At 48.4% G+C, this 19831-nt stretch overlaps 1 protein-coding gene across 63 annotated transcripts in view, besides 3 other annotated features; it reads right to left on the bottom strand.

The window, feature by feature from the left end:
* The window catches only part of ST3GAL3 (ST3 beta-galactoside alpha-2,3-sialyltransferase 3), a 223624-nt gene that overhangs the window by 53577 nt on the left and 150216 nt on the right, over positions 1-19831 (bottom strand). For 2 of the 63 annotated variants that reach the window (NR_073021.3, NM_001350621.2), the window contains exon 6: positions 19275-19448. The exons of the other annotated variants lie outside the window; for them this stretch is intronic. Coding sequence is in view for 1 of the 2 variants with exons in the window: in NM_001350621.2 (NP_001337550.1) it covers positions 19275-19297 (23 nt within the window). In the remaining variant the exon portion in view is untranslated. The remainder of the gene's footprint in view (positions 1-19274; positions 19449-19831) is intronic. 63 annotated transcript variants of the gene reach the window in all.
* Positions 6124-6624: an enhancer, noted in NCBI's record as "H3K27ac hESC enhancer chr1:44336631-44337131 (GRCh37/hg19 assembly coordinates)". NCBI's record gives its function as "activates a minimal SCP1, AML or CMV promoter by ChIP-STARR-seq in primed H9 embryonic stem cells {active_cell/tissue: H9 hESC(primed)}" and the evidence as "EXISTENCE:reporter gene assay evidence [ECO:0000049][PMID:30033119]".
* Positions 11731-11800: an enhancer, noted in NCBI's record as "active region_925". NCBI's record gives its function as "activates an Ori minimal core promoter by ATAC-STARR-seq in GM12878 lymphoblastoid cells {active_cell/tissue: GM12878}" and the evidence as "EXISTENCE:reporter gene assay evidence [ECO:0000049][PMID:35858748]".
* Positions 18845-19463: an enhancer, noted in NCBI's record as "H3K27ac-H3K4me1 hESC enhancer chr1:44323792-44324410 (GRCh37/hg19 assembly coordinates)". NCBI's record gives its function as "activates a minimal SCP1, AML or CMV promoter by ChIP-STARR-seq in primed H9 embryonic stem cells {active_cell/tissue: H9 hESC(primed)}" and the evidence as "EXISTENCE:reporter gene assay evidence [ECO:0000049][PMID:30033119]".

Here is a 19831-nt window from a genome sequence, read left to right as displayed (position 1 = left end):
TTGTCCAAGATCTCCTACTGGCACCTAGGCTCAACACATCAAAAAAGGAGCCCATTATCTTCCCCTAAACCTATTCCATCTGTCTTTTCTTCAATGAAGAGCATCCAAGTCACAGACTAAGGGGAGACCTATCTGCTTGTTTGCTATCTCTGGGGTCCTGAATGTGGCCTCTGTGTGTTTCTCTGCAGGGAAGTGAGAAGGGTGAGCCAACTCTGCTGACCAGGGAAGTCAGAAGACCCTGCACCCACGTGGCTAGATGACATCACAATCATCATCATCGCCCCAGACTGGGCAATGCATGAATGCAGACTGCTCCTGGAATTTCCCATGCAGGTCCCCCTTAGTCCTAGCTGGGGACTCTGTTCCTACAGGAAAATACTATAGCTGCCTTCTTCAGTCCAGGGGCTCAAACATTGTTCCTGACTTTGGAGACCTTGGGTGAGGCTGTAGGGGCAGAATCCTCTCTCTCTGAACACCTGATCAAATGGGATGGGTCAAGCTAGTGATAGAAACCTGTCACAGACTATTGTCGAGATGCATAGGGAGAACTGTCCCACAATAAGAATTCCAGCCCCCATACAAACGCAGAGGCTGGTATTCCTACTATTTCTGCCATTTTTCACCTCTGCTCGCCTCCTGGGCGAGCTGAGGTGACAGTTTTATCACCATGCCTTGTCTTTAACATCACATGCCTAGTACCTAGAACAGCACCTAGCATATTATAGGTAATGAATGAATGAATGAATAGCTACAACAATGGGCCCTGCCCACTGGATAGGGACCTGTCACAACCATAACTACTGGGCTGCAGCATTCCTCTTTCACATTCGTCCATCCACATGCAATGAGCACCCCATGGCCATCCAGCCAACCACCAGGAAGGAGGACCAGAGACTTGCTGTAGGTCATTCTAGACACATGACACCTTTCCAGGCCATAGTACTGCCATTACCTGGTAAAGTTATGGAGATAAGCAAGTCCCAGCCTATCTTGTCCCTTCATTGGAAGATCTTCAGCAGTTCCACATTACTGACTCAGGCCCAAATCTCTAGCCTTTCCTGCCACAGTACCTTACGATGGCCTCTATGGACTGAATCTTTTATACCTGACAGCTAAGAGCCTCAATCCCGATGCTTGACTGGCTCTCTCCCCTCAGGGTCTGCTCTATGACTTGAGCTGCTTTTCTTCCAGTCTTGATGTTCTAGGGCCACAAATCATTTATGATCCCTGTGCTTGGCAAGTCTAGTACCCCCTTCCTTGACAGATATCTCCCTGTTCAACTATAGGCTCAGTCAAAAATAAAGTGAAGAGAAATTCTAAGCTGGGCGCAGTGGCTCATGCCTGTAATCCCAGTACTTTAGGAGGCCGAGGCGGGCGGATTGCTTGAGCCCAGGAGTTTGAGATCAGCCTGAGCAACATGGCGAAACCCTGTCTCTACAAAAAATTTAAAAAATTATCCTGCCATGGTGGCAAGGTAATCCCAACGACTTGGGAAGCTGAGTGGGGAGCATCACTTGAGCCTGGAATGTCGAGGCTGCAGTGAACCAAGATCACACTACTGTACTCCAGCCTAGATGACAGAGTGAGACCCTGTCTCAAAAATAATAATAATAATAATAATAATAATAATAAGAAGAAGAAGAAGAAGAAGAAGAAGAAGAAGAAGAAGAAGAAGAAGAAGAAGAGAAATTCTAAAGCAATTATCATCAGGTGCAGTATTTTTTGTGTATTCTTTTATCAAAAAGCAGGAAACAGGAGAGATGAATTTTCTTCATGTATTAGTCTGTTCTCACGCTGCTATAAAGAAATACCCAAGACTGGGTCATTTATAAAGGAAAGAGGTTTAATCAACTCACAGTTCTGCATGGCTGGGGAGGCCTCAGGAAACACAATCATGGCGGAAGGTGAAACAGGAGCAGGCACCTTCTTCACAAGGTGGCAGGAGAGAGTGAGTACAAGCAGGGGAAATGCCAGATGCTTATAAAACCATTCACTATCATGAGAACAGCATGGGGGAAACCCCCCATGATCCAATCACTTCCCACCAGGTTCCTCCCATGACACGTGGGGTTTATGGGGATTACAATTCAAGATGAAATATGGGTGTGGACAAAGCCAAACAATATCACTTCCAAACATAGAAAGTGGTAAACTCCAAGGCAGGCCTGCCTTGGCCTCCCCTCCTCCAGTGATCTTAATCTCTTTCCTATCTCAGCTATTTACTCCTAAATTATATGTTAAACTAGGTCGCTGCTAATAACTAAAGCCCTCTCTAATGTCAGTCTCAAGCTCACTCCCTGACTGCCTCCATGTATCTATAGCTCACCTGCTGTCATAGCTAAACTCGTACAATCCTCAACACACTGAAATCATCAAGCCATTGGTTTGACCGTCTTTTCACTGTCCTTTACTTCCTTATATTCTTACTGCAATTCTCATCCAGCTTAAATTCCAAATCAATCATTATAATCACTTCTTTGCATTCACCCTCAGCTTCTTTGTTCCTTTCTCATTTGGGGGAAACACAGCTTTGATTAAATCGAAATTCCTACCTACTCTGGGGATGTACCTACACAGCTGAATATGTCTGGCTGGAGAACAACCATGCTGGTTGCTGGCTGGTCTCACTCAAAATACCAGTGAGGCCCTTATGCTTCCTGGCAATCATATATGTTATCAGCTCAGTCATTCTTCCATTCTCCTGGATGACTACTCATACTTTCTCTTTTCTCTCTACAATTCCAACACCTCCCTCATTCTTGTTCCCATAGATAACCTTGTTTACCATGGTACTGAAATATGTGAAACAAACAGAACAGAATGTTTACAAGCTGCGTATCACTACTTGCGTGCATTTGTGCCTATATTCTCTACTTTATGTTTGAACTGCCCATATTTGTAACTAAGGCCAACTTTTGTGCCCTAGACCTTATCTTTTTCATTTACTAAAGGACACTGCTCCAGGAAGTCTTCACTCTTACATCATCTCATTTCTGGATTATCCCCATAGGCAAACAAATACGTTGTTTATCCATATTAAACCCCTTCTCTCTTCTTTTTTAAGGTTTTAAAATTTGCACTCTTCTAACTTTACATTATGAAAAACATTCATACAGAAAAGTTAAAAGAACAGTACAACTATCACCCATATAGTGACCACCTATTCATTTTATCTCCATCTCTTTACAGAAACACTCCTTCAAAGAGTTATCTACATTTGCCTGTCTCCAATCTCTCTCCTCCCATTTCTCTTGAATCCATACCAATGATCCTTTAAGGTCACGTATTACTTTCATGCTGCTAAATCCAATGGTCAATTCTTTACTTAACCTATCAACAGAGTAACCATACATTGTGATTTGCCTGGGACAATGTTGGTTTATGTGTCTTATCCTGGAGTAATTAATCTTGTCCATTTTCACTCTCAAAAGTGCCCTAGTTTGTATAGTAACTTATACAATCATCCTGCCTACCAGCAACATATTACACAGTTAATTACTCCTTTTGTAATACTTTCTTTGGTTTCCAGAATATCACATTTTCCTGGATTTCCTAATGTTGCAATGGGCACTCCTCTTTCTCATTCCTTTCTGCAGTTGCTCCCTCAATGTCCCACACCAAGTGTGGGCCATTCTCTGGGCTCAGTCCCAGCTTCTCTCCTCCATCCATATTCACTTATTTGGTGATCTCATCCATTTTCATAGTCTGGACCTCTTCCCTGAACCCCACACACTGCTATATTCCCCTGCCTTCTTTTTGTATTTTTATTTTATTTATTTATTTATTTATTTTGAGACAGAATCTTACTCTGTCGTCCAGGCTGGAGTACAGTGGTGCGATCTTGGTTCACGTTACATGCAACCTCTGCCTCCCGGGTTCAAGAGATTCTTCTGCCTCAGCCTCCTGAGTAGCTGTGATTACAGGCACGCACCACCACACCCAGCTAATTTTTGTATTTTTAGTGGAGATGGAGTTCTGCCATGTTAGCCAGGATGGTCTCAAACCCCTGGCCTCAGGTGATCTGCCCACCTTAGCCTCCCAAAGTGCTGGGATTACAGGTGTGAACCACCACACCTGGCCCTTCCCCTGCCTTCTTGATAGCTACACTTGGATGTCTAAGAGGCATCTCAAACTCTGCATGTTTAAACTTGAGTTCATAATGCTCCTAAAACCTGCTCTTCTTGCAGTCATTTCTCCATCTTGGTAAATGGCATCTTCATTCTTCCAGTTTCTCAGGCTACACACTTTTAGTTGGCCTAAATTACTCTCTTTCTCTCATACTCACACCTGTGCTGGCAGCAAACCTGTTAGCTCTCCCTTCAGAATATACCCTGAACTTGACGCTTTCTTACCACCTCCACTGCTTCCACCGTGGTCCAGGTCACAATCATCTCTCCTGTAGGTCACAATAGCCTCCCAATCGGACTGCCTTGCAACAGTCTATTCTCATCAAGGCAGCTAGAAGGATCCTTTAAAACTGAAGTCACTCCTCTGCTCCAAATCCTCCATTCCTAGAGTGACCTCCAACACTCCCATGATTCAGATTTCTCTTTCTTACTTCATCTCTCATATTTCCCACTTCTTTAACACAGGCATCTTTCCTGCATTTGGATCCCACCTCAGAGCTTTTGCACTGGCTGTTTCCTCTGCCTGGAAGGCTCTTCCCCAAGATATCAGCATGGCCTTCCCTGATTTCCTTTAGGTTTTTACTTAAATGTCACCTTCCCATGAAGGTCTTTCCCAATCTCAAATGGCAGCCCCTCTCTAACTTCCATTCCTGCTTTATTTTTCTCTAGTATTTCCCACCATCTAAAATACTGTACACCTTATTTCTATATCGTTTCTTTGCCTGCTTCCCACTAGAATATGAGCCCCATGAAGGCAAGACTGTTGGTCAGTTTTGCTCACTGCTTTACCTCCAGTACAAGAGCAGTGTACTCACTAAGTATTTGTTGAATGACTGTAAAAAGGGGCTAATAATACCTACTACCTCGTGGATTATTGTGAAGATGAAGTGAGATAAGGCATGTGAAGTTCTTGGCACACCATGTTGCTCAATGACTGTCAGTTTCCTTCACCTCTCTCTCTCCCCTCCCAGTTTTGGTATCTGCCATGCCCTCCCTCTCCCTCAGGGAGTGCCCGGTCAGAGGCAGGGTGAAGAGCAGCAGGTGCCTCACCAGCAGCCCTGGCAGGACTCTCTCTGCCCTGAGACAGTCCTCCCCCCTCACACCCCGTCTCGCTCACACCCTTCCCCAACACTCCCCCTCTCACCTCTCCCCAACACACCCTCTCCTCCGTCCCCCCCACAGCCCCTCCCCCCTTCCCCCCACACCTCTCCTCCCTCTCCTCCTACTCCCGGCCCCCCACACCCCTCTCAATACACCCCCTCCTGTCCCTCACACCCCAGCCTCTCCCTCATATACCATCCTCTTTGTTAGTCCCCATCCTCTCTCACACCCCAATCATCTCCCCCACACACCCCCTCCTCCCCCTCACACCTTCTCCCCTCCCCCACAGACCCCCTCCTCCCATGTCCCCTCCTACCCTCACCCCCTCCTCTACCTCACCCCCAGCCTCTCACTCAGACCCCACCCTCTTTCTCACATCCCAGTCATCTCCCACACACACCCCCCACCGACGTACCGCTCCCCCTCCCCCACATACCCCCTCCTCCCTCCCACAAACCCCTTCCTACCCTCACACACGCCCTCCTCTCCCTCCCACCCCATCCTCTCCCACACCCCTCCTCTCCCTCACACCCCAGCCTCTCCCTCACACCCCATCTTCTCCCACACATCCCATCTTCTCCCTCACACCTCATCCTCTCCCTCCCACCCCATCCTTTCCCACATCCCTCCTCTCCCTCACACCCCAGCCTCTCCCTCACACCCCATCCTCTCCCTCACACCCCATCTTCTCCCTCACATCCCATCTTCTCCCTCACACCCCATCTTCTCCCTCACATCCCATCTTCTCCCTCACACCCCATCCTCTCCCTCACACCCCATCCTCTCCCATACCCCAGCCTCTCCCACACACCCCATCCTCTCCCTCACACCCCATCCTCTCCCTCACACCCCATCCTCTCCCTCACACCCCAGCCTCTCCCTCACACCCCATCCTCTTCTTCACATGCCATCTTCTCCCTCACACCCCGTCCTCTCCCTCACACTCCATTAACACAGGTCCAACAGTCCTCACCCATGGGCTCATGTCTCAGTCTCAAAGGTTCATGTAGCACATTGCCTGGCTGTATTCCTAGCCTCCTTCTCCTGAGTTCTCTACCAGGGTTCTTCTGGTCCCCTCGTTGTTACAGTGCACATCCTGCCAAGTACTTTGGCCACCTCATTCCAAAGAGGCTGGAGTGCTCCATCCACTGGAGCCTGCTGTTGTCCCACATGTAGGAGAGTCCTGGGAACTATTATCTGTGGCCAGCTGCTCATTCGGGCCATGGCTGCTCCCTTCTGGAATGGCCTGAGTCCTGTCACTGCCCCAAGCCCCAGCACCTTTCTCCTCACTTCAGGAACAGAGGGTGTTTCCTACACATGAATCCTAGGAGGCACAATCAATCTGGGCCAAGCTTTCTGGCACAGGGGTTACTTCTCAGAATCCTTACCTCGGTACTGGGAGGACTAAGCCTGTTGGGGAAAACCTACACAAGCAGACAGGTGGCTGCCACAGACTCCTGGCCCACTTGGCCTTCTCCATGCTCAACAGTTTTGGGGTTCCCTAGTACCAGCCTCTTCTCCTTTCCACAGTGGCCCTTGCAAACATTCCACTTTGCCTCTCTGCAGACACCCACTTCACTCCATGGCCATGTCTCCCCCTAGCTTCAAGCCTATCGTCTTCCCATCACAGGCTCTCCCGGGAACAGTTCACATGCACAAACCACAGGTCCTGGCCTGAGATTCAGCCTCATGTCAACCAGCTCCCACCCCCACCCTCCAGAGACACAGCTCTCCAAGAGCTTCTCCATCTCCAGTTCCAACCCCTGAGGTCTCACTCCTGCCTTGCCTCCCTTGGGTTTCAGGCCTTTTATGTACAACATGTGTCCTGACACCAGACCAGTCCAGTGAAGGTGGTCTGTTCTCAGCCTGACTCCAGCCCCTTCTGGGAAGCCTGTGCTCTGCGCTGTCCCAGGTTCCCCTCCCCAGACCTGGGCTTCCCTGCTCCCAGCATGGCCTGTGATTGTGACGGCCTGGCGGCCTAAGCAGACCTCCTGCTGGATCAAAATTCAACAGGGCTCATGGGATTCCTACTTATGTCACTTACAGGGCTTACATATTGGCAGGGTTTCAATAAATGTTTATGAAATAATTATCACCACCTCGCTCTTAACTGTTTTTCATTATACAATATCATTTTAGCCTCACAAAATTCATTTGAAGTAAGTAGGCAGGCATTCCCCCTAATTTACAGATGAAGACACTGAGGTTTAGAGTTTGAGTGACTTGTCCAAAGAGAGAAGGTGGTGAGCCATGTTTGAGCCTCTGATTTCTGACTCTGGGGTAAATGCTCCTTCTAGACTTTGTGGCTCTTCTTTAGGGCATGAGTCCTTGCCTGGAGCTCTCAGATACCACATGCGGACCATAACAAGTTCTAGGGAAGCATAAGGCAACTGCCCTTCCAGGTGGATTTGGCTACAGGGAGGGTGGTCTGAGAGACAGAAGCTGGTGAACAGCCCTGCTAACTGCCTGTAGCGTTGGGGGCAAGTTTCTGCGTTAGGCTTATCTCAGTCGCTGTTTTTATGTGCACTGCTTAGACAAGAACAGAATGGCTTAATCCTCAAATCTATGGAAGATAAAGAGAAAGGAAACGAACAGTTTATATTGGAGAACAAAGAGGATCCAAAATACTCCAGAATGACAGCTACCTTGCCACGCTTGGTTTGGACCCACACATTCCATCATACGTGCTGAGTGGGAAGGGAGTGAGCTTGGCAAGAGCATTTGGTCAAGAATAGGCTTATGGTCAGTGGGACATGACCATTGAAGAAAATACCATCTTTTGGGTGTGAGGCATTATGAGGAGCATCAAAAATGGGGAGATGCTTCTCCTTCTATGCTCCCTGTTAAGCCACCTGGAGCAAGCATGAGCTCTATTTTGGGTGTCCCCTAAAGGCAAAAGGGGAAAAGTCGTAAGATGGAACTGACAAGAGAAGAAAACCACTGTGACAGGGAGGGGCCCTTTATGATACCCTATACGGGCAGAGATGTCTGGCAAGAGACATCACCAGCTTCAAATCTCTGAACAACTGATGGAGAAAAGGGATTAGACTCGTCCTACGTGGCTCTGGCAGGCAGAACTAAGACCACAGGGGGAAGCTGCAGAAAGGCAGATTTTGGCTTTTCATAGTTAAACCTCTCCAATTACTGATGAGTATCTTGAAATGAATGGGCTGTTTCTGCAGGTCAAGGACTTCCAGCTATTGGAAGTGGGGAATGGACTAGGTAATCTCCATGATTCCACGATACAGGGTTCTAGAACCACCAAGCCCAGGAAAGTGGCAAGAACCATCTTCTCCTTGGACTTACCCTGGGCTGAAGATAGGCCCAAAGAGGCAGCAGATCCAGCCTCCAGTCTAATGTCATGGCCAAGGCTGTGGGTTCAGCTGCTCAGTGCTAGCATCTAGGGACTTTCTTCATTGGGCTGTCTACAGTTTGGATTAGTTGTTTTCTCTCTTTAAAAGGAAAAGCTCTGGAAAGGGGCCAGGGGTTGTGGGAGACTATTTCCATCTCGGGTGTCTCTTCCAAAGCTCTGGTGTTTTGCCAGGATTTAAGCATGGTATACACAACACAGTTAAAAATAACCCCTTGATTGAACAGAAGGCGTGGGAGAAAGGGGCTAGCCAGGCAACTTTGCTAGAGGGTGGGGGAGGTAGGCAAGGAGAGGAAACTTGTACCCAGAGCCCTGGGAAGGGTTTTATCCCAGAAGAGATATGTAGACTCAAGGGGGTAAGGGTCAGGAAGATACTGTTCCTAACTGCTCCTTTCCAGGAAGAACTGCCCAGTAGGTGCCCTGCTTTGCGTATGCCCAGGGTTTAAACAAACTGCTAGTTTTGAAGGGTTCTCCCAGGAATGACTTTGCCATTTTTCAGTCCTGAGTGCCAGCCTATGGGACTAAAGCTAGGGAAAAAAGACAAGCAGCAGAAAGCCAAGAAAGGTTAAACTGTGTCAAAAGCCACAGACAGGTCAAAGAAACAGAGGCCAGAGAAAGGTCTACTAGATTTAGCTATTGGGAAGTTCTTGTGATTTGTGTGTGAAGGCTTCCAGACTTTTCCTTCCATAAACAGACATTTAACATAAATGGAATTACCTTATATATAGTGTCCCATAACCTGCTTTTTAACAAATTTACAATAAACTGTGGGAGCATGCCAGTAAATACAGTCTGACATTTTTCACGACCACATACTATTTCATCATAGGGAAATACTACATGAATCATGCTTGGCTCAGAGGCACTTAGGGTGTTTCCAGTTTTTTGCTATTATCATAAACATGTTGCAACAGCATATTAAAATAATGCATACACAGATATGATTACTTTTGTATGTACAATATTAAGAAGTGGAATTGTTGGATGAAGTGGAATCCACATTTTATACTTTATTATACATGTATGTTGCCTATATAGCCTCCCATAATTTTGGAGAGAAATTCTATTCTCTTCTGATTTCCTCTAATCTTTCCAGCCATTTTTTCCTATTCTCCTTCATCCTATTCAACCCTTATATATTGGTATTCCTCAGAGTTAGGTCATTCTGTTTTCTTCTTCCTTAAAAAATTACCAACTCAAATGCCTACAAGAGCCAAGAAGGTACGGTAAATATGTCAACTGGGCCAGACATAAGACAACAAGAAGGGGCAGGGTTAGAGCAAGCTAGAATTACACACTGTCTAAAAGTATTCACATTATTTTAAAACACTGTGCCATAAAGCATGTCTACAGGTAGATTTGTTTACAAGCTGCCAATTTGGGACCCAGTTAACACACCTTCCCCACACAACTTCACCACTGCCAAAACTTCATCTATGTGCTGATAACTCCCACTTTAACTCTGACCTCTCCCTGGGAACCCCAGACCCACATATACAAATGACTATCTACATCTTTCCTTAAGTGTCCCAGAGGCATCTCAAACTCATTATGCACACAATCAAATTCATGATCTCTGCCCTTTCCTCCTCCCAAAAGTCAGAAATCAAATATAAGAAAGAAATGATCTTCTTCTTGGGTTCTCTACCTCAACCAATGGCACCTCCAATTTTCCTACTGATATGGTTTGGCTGTGTCCCCACCCAAGTTTCATCTTGAATTGTAACTCCCACAATTCCTACGTGTCGTGGGAGGAACCTGATGGGAGGTGATTGAATTATAGGGGTGGGTCTTTCCTGCGCTATTCTCATCATAGTGAATGAGTCTCACGAGATCTGATGGCTTTATTTATTTTGAGACGGAGTCTCGCTCTGTCACCCAGGCTGGAGTGCAGTGGCGTGATCTGGGCTCATTGCAACCTCTGCCTCCCGGGTTGAAGCGACTCTCCTGCATAAGCGTCCCAAGTAGCTGCGATTACAGACACGCGCCACTATGCCTGGCTAATTTTTGTATTTTTAGTAGAGACGGGGTTTCACCATCTTGGCCAGGCTGGTCTTGAACTCCTGACCTCATGATCCACCCACCACGGCCTCCCAAAGTGCTGGGATTACAGGCATGAGCCACTGCACCTGGCCTAATTTCCCATATCTTTAAGGATATAATCTAGAGTCCTTTTGGAGTGACTTGTGAGGTCTCCCATGATCTTGCTCTAGATTACTTCTAGCCTGTCTTCCAGCATCTAGGATGTAACACTATGTGCCAAACATACCAAACCACGTGCAGTAATCTGAATGTCCTTATGTGCATCATGTTCTCAGTTTATGTATTCCCTCTGTCTAGAAGACCTACCCTGTCATTTTTCAACTGCCTAATTCCTTAATCTTTTTTTTTTTTTTACCTTGAGACAGGGTCTCACTCTGTCATCCAGGCTGGAGTGCAGTGGCACAATCATGGCTCACTGCAGCCTCAACTTCTTGGGCTTAGGGGATCCTCCCACCTCAGCCTCTCGAGTAGCTGGGACTATGGGTGCACACCACCACATGTGGCTAAATTTTTTTGTTTCTATTTTTAGCAGAGATGGGGTTTCAGCATGTTGCCCAGGCTGGCCTCAAACTACAGGGCTCAAGTGATCGGCCTGCCTCAGCCTTATAGTGCAGGGATTACAGGTGTGAGCTACCACACCTTGAAAAAAAAATCACCTCCTTCAAAAATCCTTCTCTGACCACTTTCCCCCAAAAGATGGCTTCTCCCAGGTATTCTCTGTTACAGATCCTCCCTGTCCTGCAGGCTTACAGTAGGGAAGAAAAAGAAACTTCCAAGGCATTTTCCCAGGCTGCTGAAAGGGGCCATGACATGTCCTTACCTGGGTGTCTTTGAGAACAGGCAGTGCTGAAAATATATGGGAGTGTGGGGCAGACAGTGATAATTCCAGAGGAGGTCAGGAGCCCTGGAAAAGGCCCGGCTGCTTGGCTCTGGTTGCCTGTGGCCTTGAGGGGCCATGAATACTTCAGGTCCACAGACCACGTATCTTAAGGAGCTACTGACATAATGTATCCCACCCACTGACACTTACGGCACCAATCCGTGCCAAAAACAAAACTAAAACAAAAAAGAAAGACTACTTTTCAACCTCATGATGGTGAGTCAGCAATCACCAGCGAACCAATGAAAAGGTCTTCTTTGGCCCTTTAATGCTAGAAGTAGATGATCAGAATGAAGGTCAAGAGGTCCTGTAAACAATAATGGCAGAAGAGGAGTAAAGCCCAGTGATCTACCTTAGGAAAAAAGCCCCTCCTGACACCTCACTTTGATTAGGTGTCTCCTTTCTGTGTATTTGTGGCACCCTAGACTTTCATTTACCATCATGTCAGCATTCTCTAATTTTGTTTTCATGTCTGACTCACTCTAGACAAGTTCTGGGGTAAGGATTATGTATTACTTTTCATCCTTAGTACCCAGCATGGTGCCAAATATATGGAAATGCTTATAAAATTAATAATAGAGGAAGGGGAGGGAAGGAAGTTTAAGTAAACAGGTTTCAAGTTGAGAAGTTTGGTGACTAAAAGGTATAGATACTACAAATTCATGTGATGTAATGAAAAAATTTCTTTCACTATGTCAGAGACAGAGAGGAAGGTGCATAAAGACTTATAAATAAGAATGTTATGACCGGGCATGGTGGCTCACGCCTGTAATCCCAGCACTTTGGGAGGCCGAGGCGGGAGGATCATGAGGTCAGGAGATCGAAACCATCCTGGCTAACATGGTGAAACCCCGTCTCTATTAAAAATACAAAAAAAAATAGCCGGGCGTGGTGGTGGGTGCCTGTAGTCCCAGCTACTCAGGAGGCTGAGGCAGGAAAATGGCGTGAACCCGGGAGGCGGAGCTTGCAGTGAGCCGAGATCGCGCCACTGCACTCCAGCCTGGGCGACAGAGCAAGACTCTGTCTCAAAAAAAAAAAAAATGTTGTACATAGATACTCTGTTTACACTAGGAAGAAATCGGAAAAAAAAATCCCTTAAAGGACCTGGGTGCTTCACAGGGATGTTCTGCAGGAATTTGAAGCTAAGCGTTCTCCCCAGATGAACTCAACAGCTGCCCCATAAGCGTGCTCTTCTCCCTGTGTTTCCTATGTTAGGAAATGGTGCCACTACCTTGCCAGCTGCCTGAAACAGAAACTAGGAATCCATTTTTACTCATCCCTCTACCAGCCACCTAATGTTGTCATTTCTCCTCCCCTAATATGACATGAACTTGTCCTTATCACCTCTTCCCAAGCATTACCTTCCTCAGTCCCACCTCCTGTAACCCTTTCTCCCCATTTCAGGCAATGACCTTTCTAAAGCACAAATCTGATGCTGTCCTTCCCTCCCTGCTTTGAAACCTTGGCTGACCTCATAATAAAGTTCAAACTTCTCAGCATGACATTCAAGGCCTCTTACCAAGGACTTGTACTCCAACAGCCAAATTACTTCCAAGTGTGTCTCCTTCCCTCCATGTGATTCCTGCCCTTCCCTAGATTCTCTACCTGGCCAGTTTCTAACTGTCCTCCAATAGGCAGCACAGGTGTCCCCATCTCTAGGAAGCCTCTCCTGCCTGCAGTTTGGTTAGGGGCCCTTATCAGAGCACACACAGCTCCTTGTGCTTGCTCTGTTGCTACAGTAACCACACTGCCCACTCAGTTTCTTTCTTTGTTTTTTTTCCCTGAGACAGAGTTTTGCTCTTGTTGCCCAGGCTGGAGTGCAATGGCGCCAGCTCAGCTCACTGCAACCTCCGTCTCCCAGGTCAAAATGATTCTCTGCCTCAGCCTCTCAAGTAGCTGGGATTACAGGCATGCGCCACCATGCCCGGCTGATTTCTGTATTTTTAGTAGAGACGGGGTTTTGCCATGTTGGCCAGGCTGGTCTTGAACTCCTGACCTCAGGTGATCTGCCTGCCTCAAGCTCCCAAAGTGCTGGGATTACAGGCATGAGCCACCACGCCCGGCCCCCACTCAAGTTTCTTATCTGTCACTCTCCCCTAGACCTCTGCACAAGGCTTGGTAGACAGTGAATGCTTAGGGGTTCAGGGAGGGGCAGAATACTTGGGGTCTCTGGAGCTTGGAAGTGGGGCAGCAGTCACCATGGGCAGGTCCAGATTGGGATCTATGAGGTACTGATGCAAGCATGCTCTTCTCTGGAGGCCTGGTCGCTGCTCCACAGAGATGGAAGAGGAGGAGGAGGCTTCTCCCACACGCTGAGGACACTCTCTGCCAGACTGGGGCCTCTGTGGGGTCTCCCAGGATTAAGAACATCATACTGAGCAGACAGGCCCCATTTTAGGGGGCGGAAGCTGGCTTAGTGATGGAGCTATGCTTTCCCCAACCCATTCTTTATTCTTTATGATCTCCGAATTGCAGAAGCAGAAACTGCTCACCCTTGGTCTGAAGCTTTTCGTGACTTGTGCGAAGAAATGTCATCAACAGCCTTTTGTTTGAACTTGACTTGTGTGAATGTGCCAGGGGACTTGCTCAGAAGAGTCTTTTCAGATGTCATTTCTGTTTGTCTATAACCCTGGTCCATGCAAAGTCATTCACAAGCCAGTTTTTCTGAGGCTCCGGGGCTGTCATAGTCTCATTCTTGCCACAGCCCGCACAGCTACTGTGTGACTGCCTTCAGCCTGGAGTGGGTGCAGGGCTTCAGCCTCCCCACAGCCCCACACTTAGCAATGGTGTGTGCTGTGGCCAGGTCAGAGCCAGGCACTGAAATGCAGCTGTGAGGGAGTACCCAACCAAATCTCTCACTCTCAACTTGACTTGAATGTCTCTGAAACCCTGAGCTACAACTTCAATTTACTTCCCCCAGACAGTGAGCTGGGACCATGCCTGCGTTTTTTAAAACCATTTCCCCAGTGCCCACACAGTGCCCAGCACTTGATAAAAATGTATTACATGAGTGAACAGACAGATATGCAATATCCAGTTATTTGAGTCAACTGAGGGAGACCGTCAAACTCAATGTTTTGAAGGAAGAATAATCCAGAATTTAATATGTCCTTAGAGCCACTTTAGACTCTGTCCACTGTTTTTTTGAAACTGGGTCTCACACGGTCACCCAGGCTGGAGTGCAGTAGCATGATCACAGCTCATTGTAGCCTCAACCTCCCTGGCTCAAGCGATCCTCCTGCCTCAGCCTCCTGAATAGCTAGGGCTACAAGTGCACACCATTATGCTAATTAAATTTTTTTTTTTTTTTTTTTTTGGTAGAGACAGAGTCTCGCTATGTTTCCCAGGCTGGTTTCAAACTCCTGGGCTCAAGTGATCCTCCCGCCTCAGCCTCCCAAAGTGTTGGGATTACAAGTGTGAGCCACTGCGCCTGGCTCTGCCCACTGTTGATGCTGCTGGTGTTGGTCCTGGGAAGGAAGCCCAGAGTGCTGGGCCCAGCTGCACAGTGGGCCTGGACATGGCAGAACACCCAACTAGGTCAGTAGGACCCGCCGCTTCCATTTCCCTCCCCAAGCCCAAGCCAGCTGCAAGGAGTGTGGTGATAGGATAAAGGCAAGAGAAATGGGAGCTGTCCCCAGTTTAGTCAGTCACCAAGTGGTGATGGAGGGTAAGATAGAGGTAAAAATTAGACAAGGTCTCAGGAGGGAATTATAATGTGGTATACACAGAACTGTTACAGATAGAGGTGCACACAGAGCTGGGGGAGCTCCAGGGCAGGAAAAGCTTCACAGAGGAGGTGACATCTGAGCTGGAGTTTTAAAGGTGGAGAATGTGAGGACAGACACTCCAGACAGCACATGCATGTGGACAGCTGGCCAAGCTGAGTGCCTGCCTTGTCCAGGCCCCTTTGGAGGGGAGAGGCCTGCCACAAGCAGTTCTCTCAGCAGAGACTGCTGTGCTTGATGCCAGACAACGTTCAAGTTACTCACTGAAGTAAAAGCAGTAGTTGTCTCTCTTTTTTTTTTTTTTTTTTAAGACAGATTTTCGCTCTTGTTGCCCAGGCAGGAGTACAATGGCGTGATCTTGGCTCACCGCAACCTCCGCCTCCCGAGTTCAAGCGATTCTCCTGCCTCAGCCTCCCAAGTAGCTGGGATTACATGCATGTGCCAACACGCCCGGCTAATTTTGTATTTTTAGTAGAGACGGGGTTTCTCCATGTTGACCAGGCTGGTCTCGAACTCCTGACTTCAGGTGATCCGCCTGCCCTGGCCTCCCAAAGTGCCGGGATTACAGGCGTGAGCCACTGTGCCCGGCCAAAGCAGTAGTTCTTAAGGCAAAGAATATGGAGAAGCACTCCAGGTTGGGGGACTAGCAGGCACAGCACAAAGGCATAAAAGACTATGGGTTAGTAAGGCATTGGCATGTAGGGGTTACGGCACCAGGAAGCATCAGCTTAAATTATTAATTTAATTTATTAATTGAAGCATCAGCATAAGTTATGAGTCATCGGTTGCATCCTGTGTAGCTGGAGTTGCCAAAAGCCACATTTCCCAATATGTGGAAGTATTTCTGTATCAACAAATGCCAGTCACCTGGGTTTGTATGCAGTCTATACAAGTCCTGACAGCTCCACACCAAGACATATTACTGGAAGGTCTCCATGAGAGTTGAGGCAGTCAGAGCATAAAGACAGAACCACACTTACCACCCCAGACGAGGCACTCACTGCATGCCAGGCACCAGGACACACATGTCATGGACATTATTTAGTGTTATCCCCATAAATGCCCATGAGATGGGGGCTGTTATTCGCATTTTGCAGATAAGGAGGCTGATGTTTAACATGACTAAGGGCTTGTCCAAGGTTATACAGCTAGCAAAGTAGCAAAGTTGGGATTCTAACCCAGGTTTGCCTGATTTCAAAACCTAAGCTCTCTTCACTTGCCCAGACGGAGGCAGAGGAGCTCCCAGCTGTATTCCATCTTTGCTGAGAAAGCATGAAGGAGATGCTGTGAACCTGGCACAGGCACACAAGGTCAAGCCACAGGGATCGGTGAAACAGCGGTGAGGCCAGGTGGTAAAGATGTACCCCTCGTCCTCCGACCAGCCTCACCGCAGTGCCAACAGATGACAGTCTAAGTACAGTAAGACCACTTTTGCCTCAGCTCAAAAGCTTTCTACTTCCTGAACCTACCCTCAGAAAAGGTCTGAAATTAGGCCCAGTTACAGGCTGGAAAAAATGATCAACCTCTGGCTAGGGAGAACATGGTGACTGTAACCCACATAGCCTACATCCCTCCACTGCCCTCCCTTTCTGCATCTAGCACTCCAGGGGTTAGGGAAAGGGGCTCATGGCTAGACAGGAAGAGACCTGCTGCTCATGGAGGATGGCCCTTGGGATCCAGATGCATGGCAGAAATGGCCAGTCCTACCTTTCTTCCTTTAGCAAATGCTCCTCTGTGGAGTACCTGATGAGGACTGGAACAGAGATGGATAGAGCAAGGCTCACCCTTTGCTCCTGAACCTCACTCTACATGCAGCTGTGCCTTTGCCAACAGCTTTCCTTGGCCACGCTGGGGTCTCTGAACCCTGTGTTTCCTCTCAATAATCTGAGCGGTAGCAAAGGAATGCATCTCTATGAGAGTTAGCAACTTTCCTGGAGCAGGCCCACTGGAGACAGGGCTGCGTCAGGAGCCCAGGCCTCCTGGATGAGCTATCTTTCCCCACAGCCTTGAGTGTGGGTCACGGTTTGCTGTGCTCTACCCTACTGCCTCTTGCACTCTTCTTCATTTTGCCCCCAAAATGACTAGGCTACAGGCAGAACTGGCTAAACCAGAGGCAGCTGCTGACCATGTTTAAAAAGGTCATTGCTTTGGAGGAAGGATTCTTTCCATCAGGAGGCCCACATGGGCTCATGGGGCCTGATCCAACCAGTGGTCATTCTCCTTGCATACGCCCTCAGGGGTAGGGAGGGGCAGAAAGAAGCCCTTCAGGGGAAGGGACTTGGGTATCAGGGACCCCTGTGTGTGCAACAGCCACAGGGCAGGAAGAGAAGGGCACAGGAGCAGAGGCAGGGGGTTTGAGATGGTCAGAAGCGGCCTAAGGGTGAACATATAGCTGGCAGAGTCCTGCCCTTAATCCCTCTTGCTGGTCTTGAGGTACACATGAGGATGGGTGATGGAGACGGGGAATGTGGTGGAGACAGCCCTTAACCTGGCCAGAACCTCACTGATCATAGTCACCTTGGACACATGGGAGCAAGGCCAGTGGAGACAGCAGGTACAGAGCCAGCCCTCATCAGAGCTGGTTTCTGAGCTCAGGCCTCAAGCACATGCCTTGCCCCATTTGGAGGACTTGCTCCATTTGGGCATTTGCTTCTTAGAGCAAGTTCCGCAACTGGCAATTGGCCTGTGGCCCAGACACACTATCTGAAGGGGCTGAGCAGCAAAGCCAAAGGTGTCATTTTGTTTTTCCAATCATCTGGTTTTTTTTCTTTTTTTTTTGAGATGGAGTCTCACTCTGTCGCCCAGGCTGGAGTGCAATGGCGTGATCTCGGCTCACTGCAACCTTCGCCTCCCAGGTTCAAGCGATTCTCCTGCCTCAGCCTCCTGAGTAGCTGGGATTACAGGCATGCACCACCACACCAGGCTAATTTTGTATTTTTGGTAGAGATGGGGTTTCTCCATGTCGGTCAGGCTGGTCGCCACCGTGCCCAGCCCCAATCTTCTGTTTTCAAACTATGTTCGGAAGTTGTCCAGTGTAGGAAACTTCCGCATACTAAGCCCTTGAAACCGAGGGAGAGAGGATGGGTCTATCCCAACACAAGGGCCACAAAGATGTCACAGGGCCAGCTGTCAACAGGCCTTTTTTCGTGATGCTGCCAACTGTCAGGTGTGTGTTTCCCTGACCAGGAACTCCTGAGAACAGAGGCCACGTGGCCCAATACTCGCCACATCACCCTGGACAATCTCATCCACACTCTGGGGGCTGTGTATGGACCTACGTGCAATTTGTTTTCTTCCAGCCCAGACCTCTCTCCTGAGAGATTCACTGAACTCAGGCTCCCTGAGTAGGGCCGTGGCTTCCCTCTGACACTTCATTTGCCTGGATCTGGACTCTTTGCCTGCATCAGGGCAGAAGGCAGAGCCAAGGGCCCTCATCATGGCAGGCAGGCATAGACTCATGTCCTGCCTCCACAGTGGGGAGGCAAGGCTTCAGCCCTCCTTCTCCCCTCTAGCTCTGGCTATTTATTTGGGGAGACCAGTCAGAGAGTGACCTGTCTCCCCAGGTGCAGACAGAGTAGGGAAAGCAGGACACAGTCCTGAAGGTGCCAGCATCTTGCTCTCTGCTGAGCTGCTGCCTCATCGCTGGGACTTGTGTGGGTGGAGCTCAGACCTGGGCCCTCCCTCTCACTGAGGAACTCACAGGGCTGCTTGCTCCTGGCTGGGAGCCTCACACAGCTCAGGAGGAGGGCCAGGATCATGTTCTGTGCTTTCACCAGCTTTTGCTCTTCACAAGCAGCAAGAACTCCCCACGTGGGGATCTTGTACCTGAACCAAAAAAAGCAAAGCTGCTAATCTGACAAGATCAATCCTCAAATACCACAGGAATGCAGCCAGCCTGCCTGCTCTCACCAGGGACTGTGCTTCTAAGCATCCCTACAGTTCCTGCTCCTAGGCTGGAGCCTGGAACTGGTCTGCAAAGGAGGAAGCTGCCCCCACCAGTGTGTCTGGTCTTGCTGCCGAAGCCCCACCTTTCCCAGCATAGTTCAGGCATCAGACTTCACCAGGACGTCTCCCCAGTCAATCTCTCATCACTCCTCCAGCTGAAGGGCCTTCTCTGTGTCCCCACAATCCTCTGTCTTCACCTCTGGCGGAGCACATATGCCTGGATATGTTTTTGTCTCCATGCACCATTTCTCTTAGCTCTGGGGAAGATAGGTACAGATGAGGAAGGTGAGGCTCAGAAAGGTTGAGCAACCCAGCCCTATTCACTTCAAAAACCTGTTCTTTCCACTGTAGTCCGACACTTCTCAAACCATCTGTGAAGAGGGATCGGTTGGTTTTGCTTTTTAAATTTCTATTTTGTCACAGAATGATGATTTTATAAAATAGAATAAAAATGAATCACTAGAAAAGTTAAATAAGGCCAGGCGTGGTGGCTCACGCCTGTAATCCCAGCACTTTGGGAGGCTGAGGCAGGTGGATCACCTGAGGTCAGGAGTTCGAGACCAGCCTGGCCATCATGGTGAAACCCCGCTTCTACTAAAGATACAAAAATTAGCTGGACATAGTGGCGGGCACCTGTAAT

The sequence above is a fragment of the Homo sapiens genome, chromosome 1, assembly GCF_000001405.40.
Source record: "Homo sapiens chromosome 1, GRCh38.p14 Primary Assembly".
NCBI lineage: Eukaryota > Metazoa > Chordata > Mammalia > Primates > Hominidae > Homo > Homo sapiens.
Note: the sequence above shows the minus strand (reverse complement) of the source record. Positions and strands in the feature narration are given on the sequence as shown.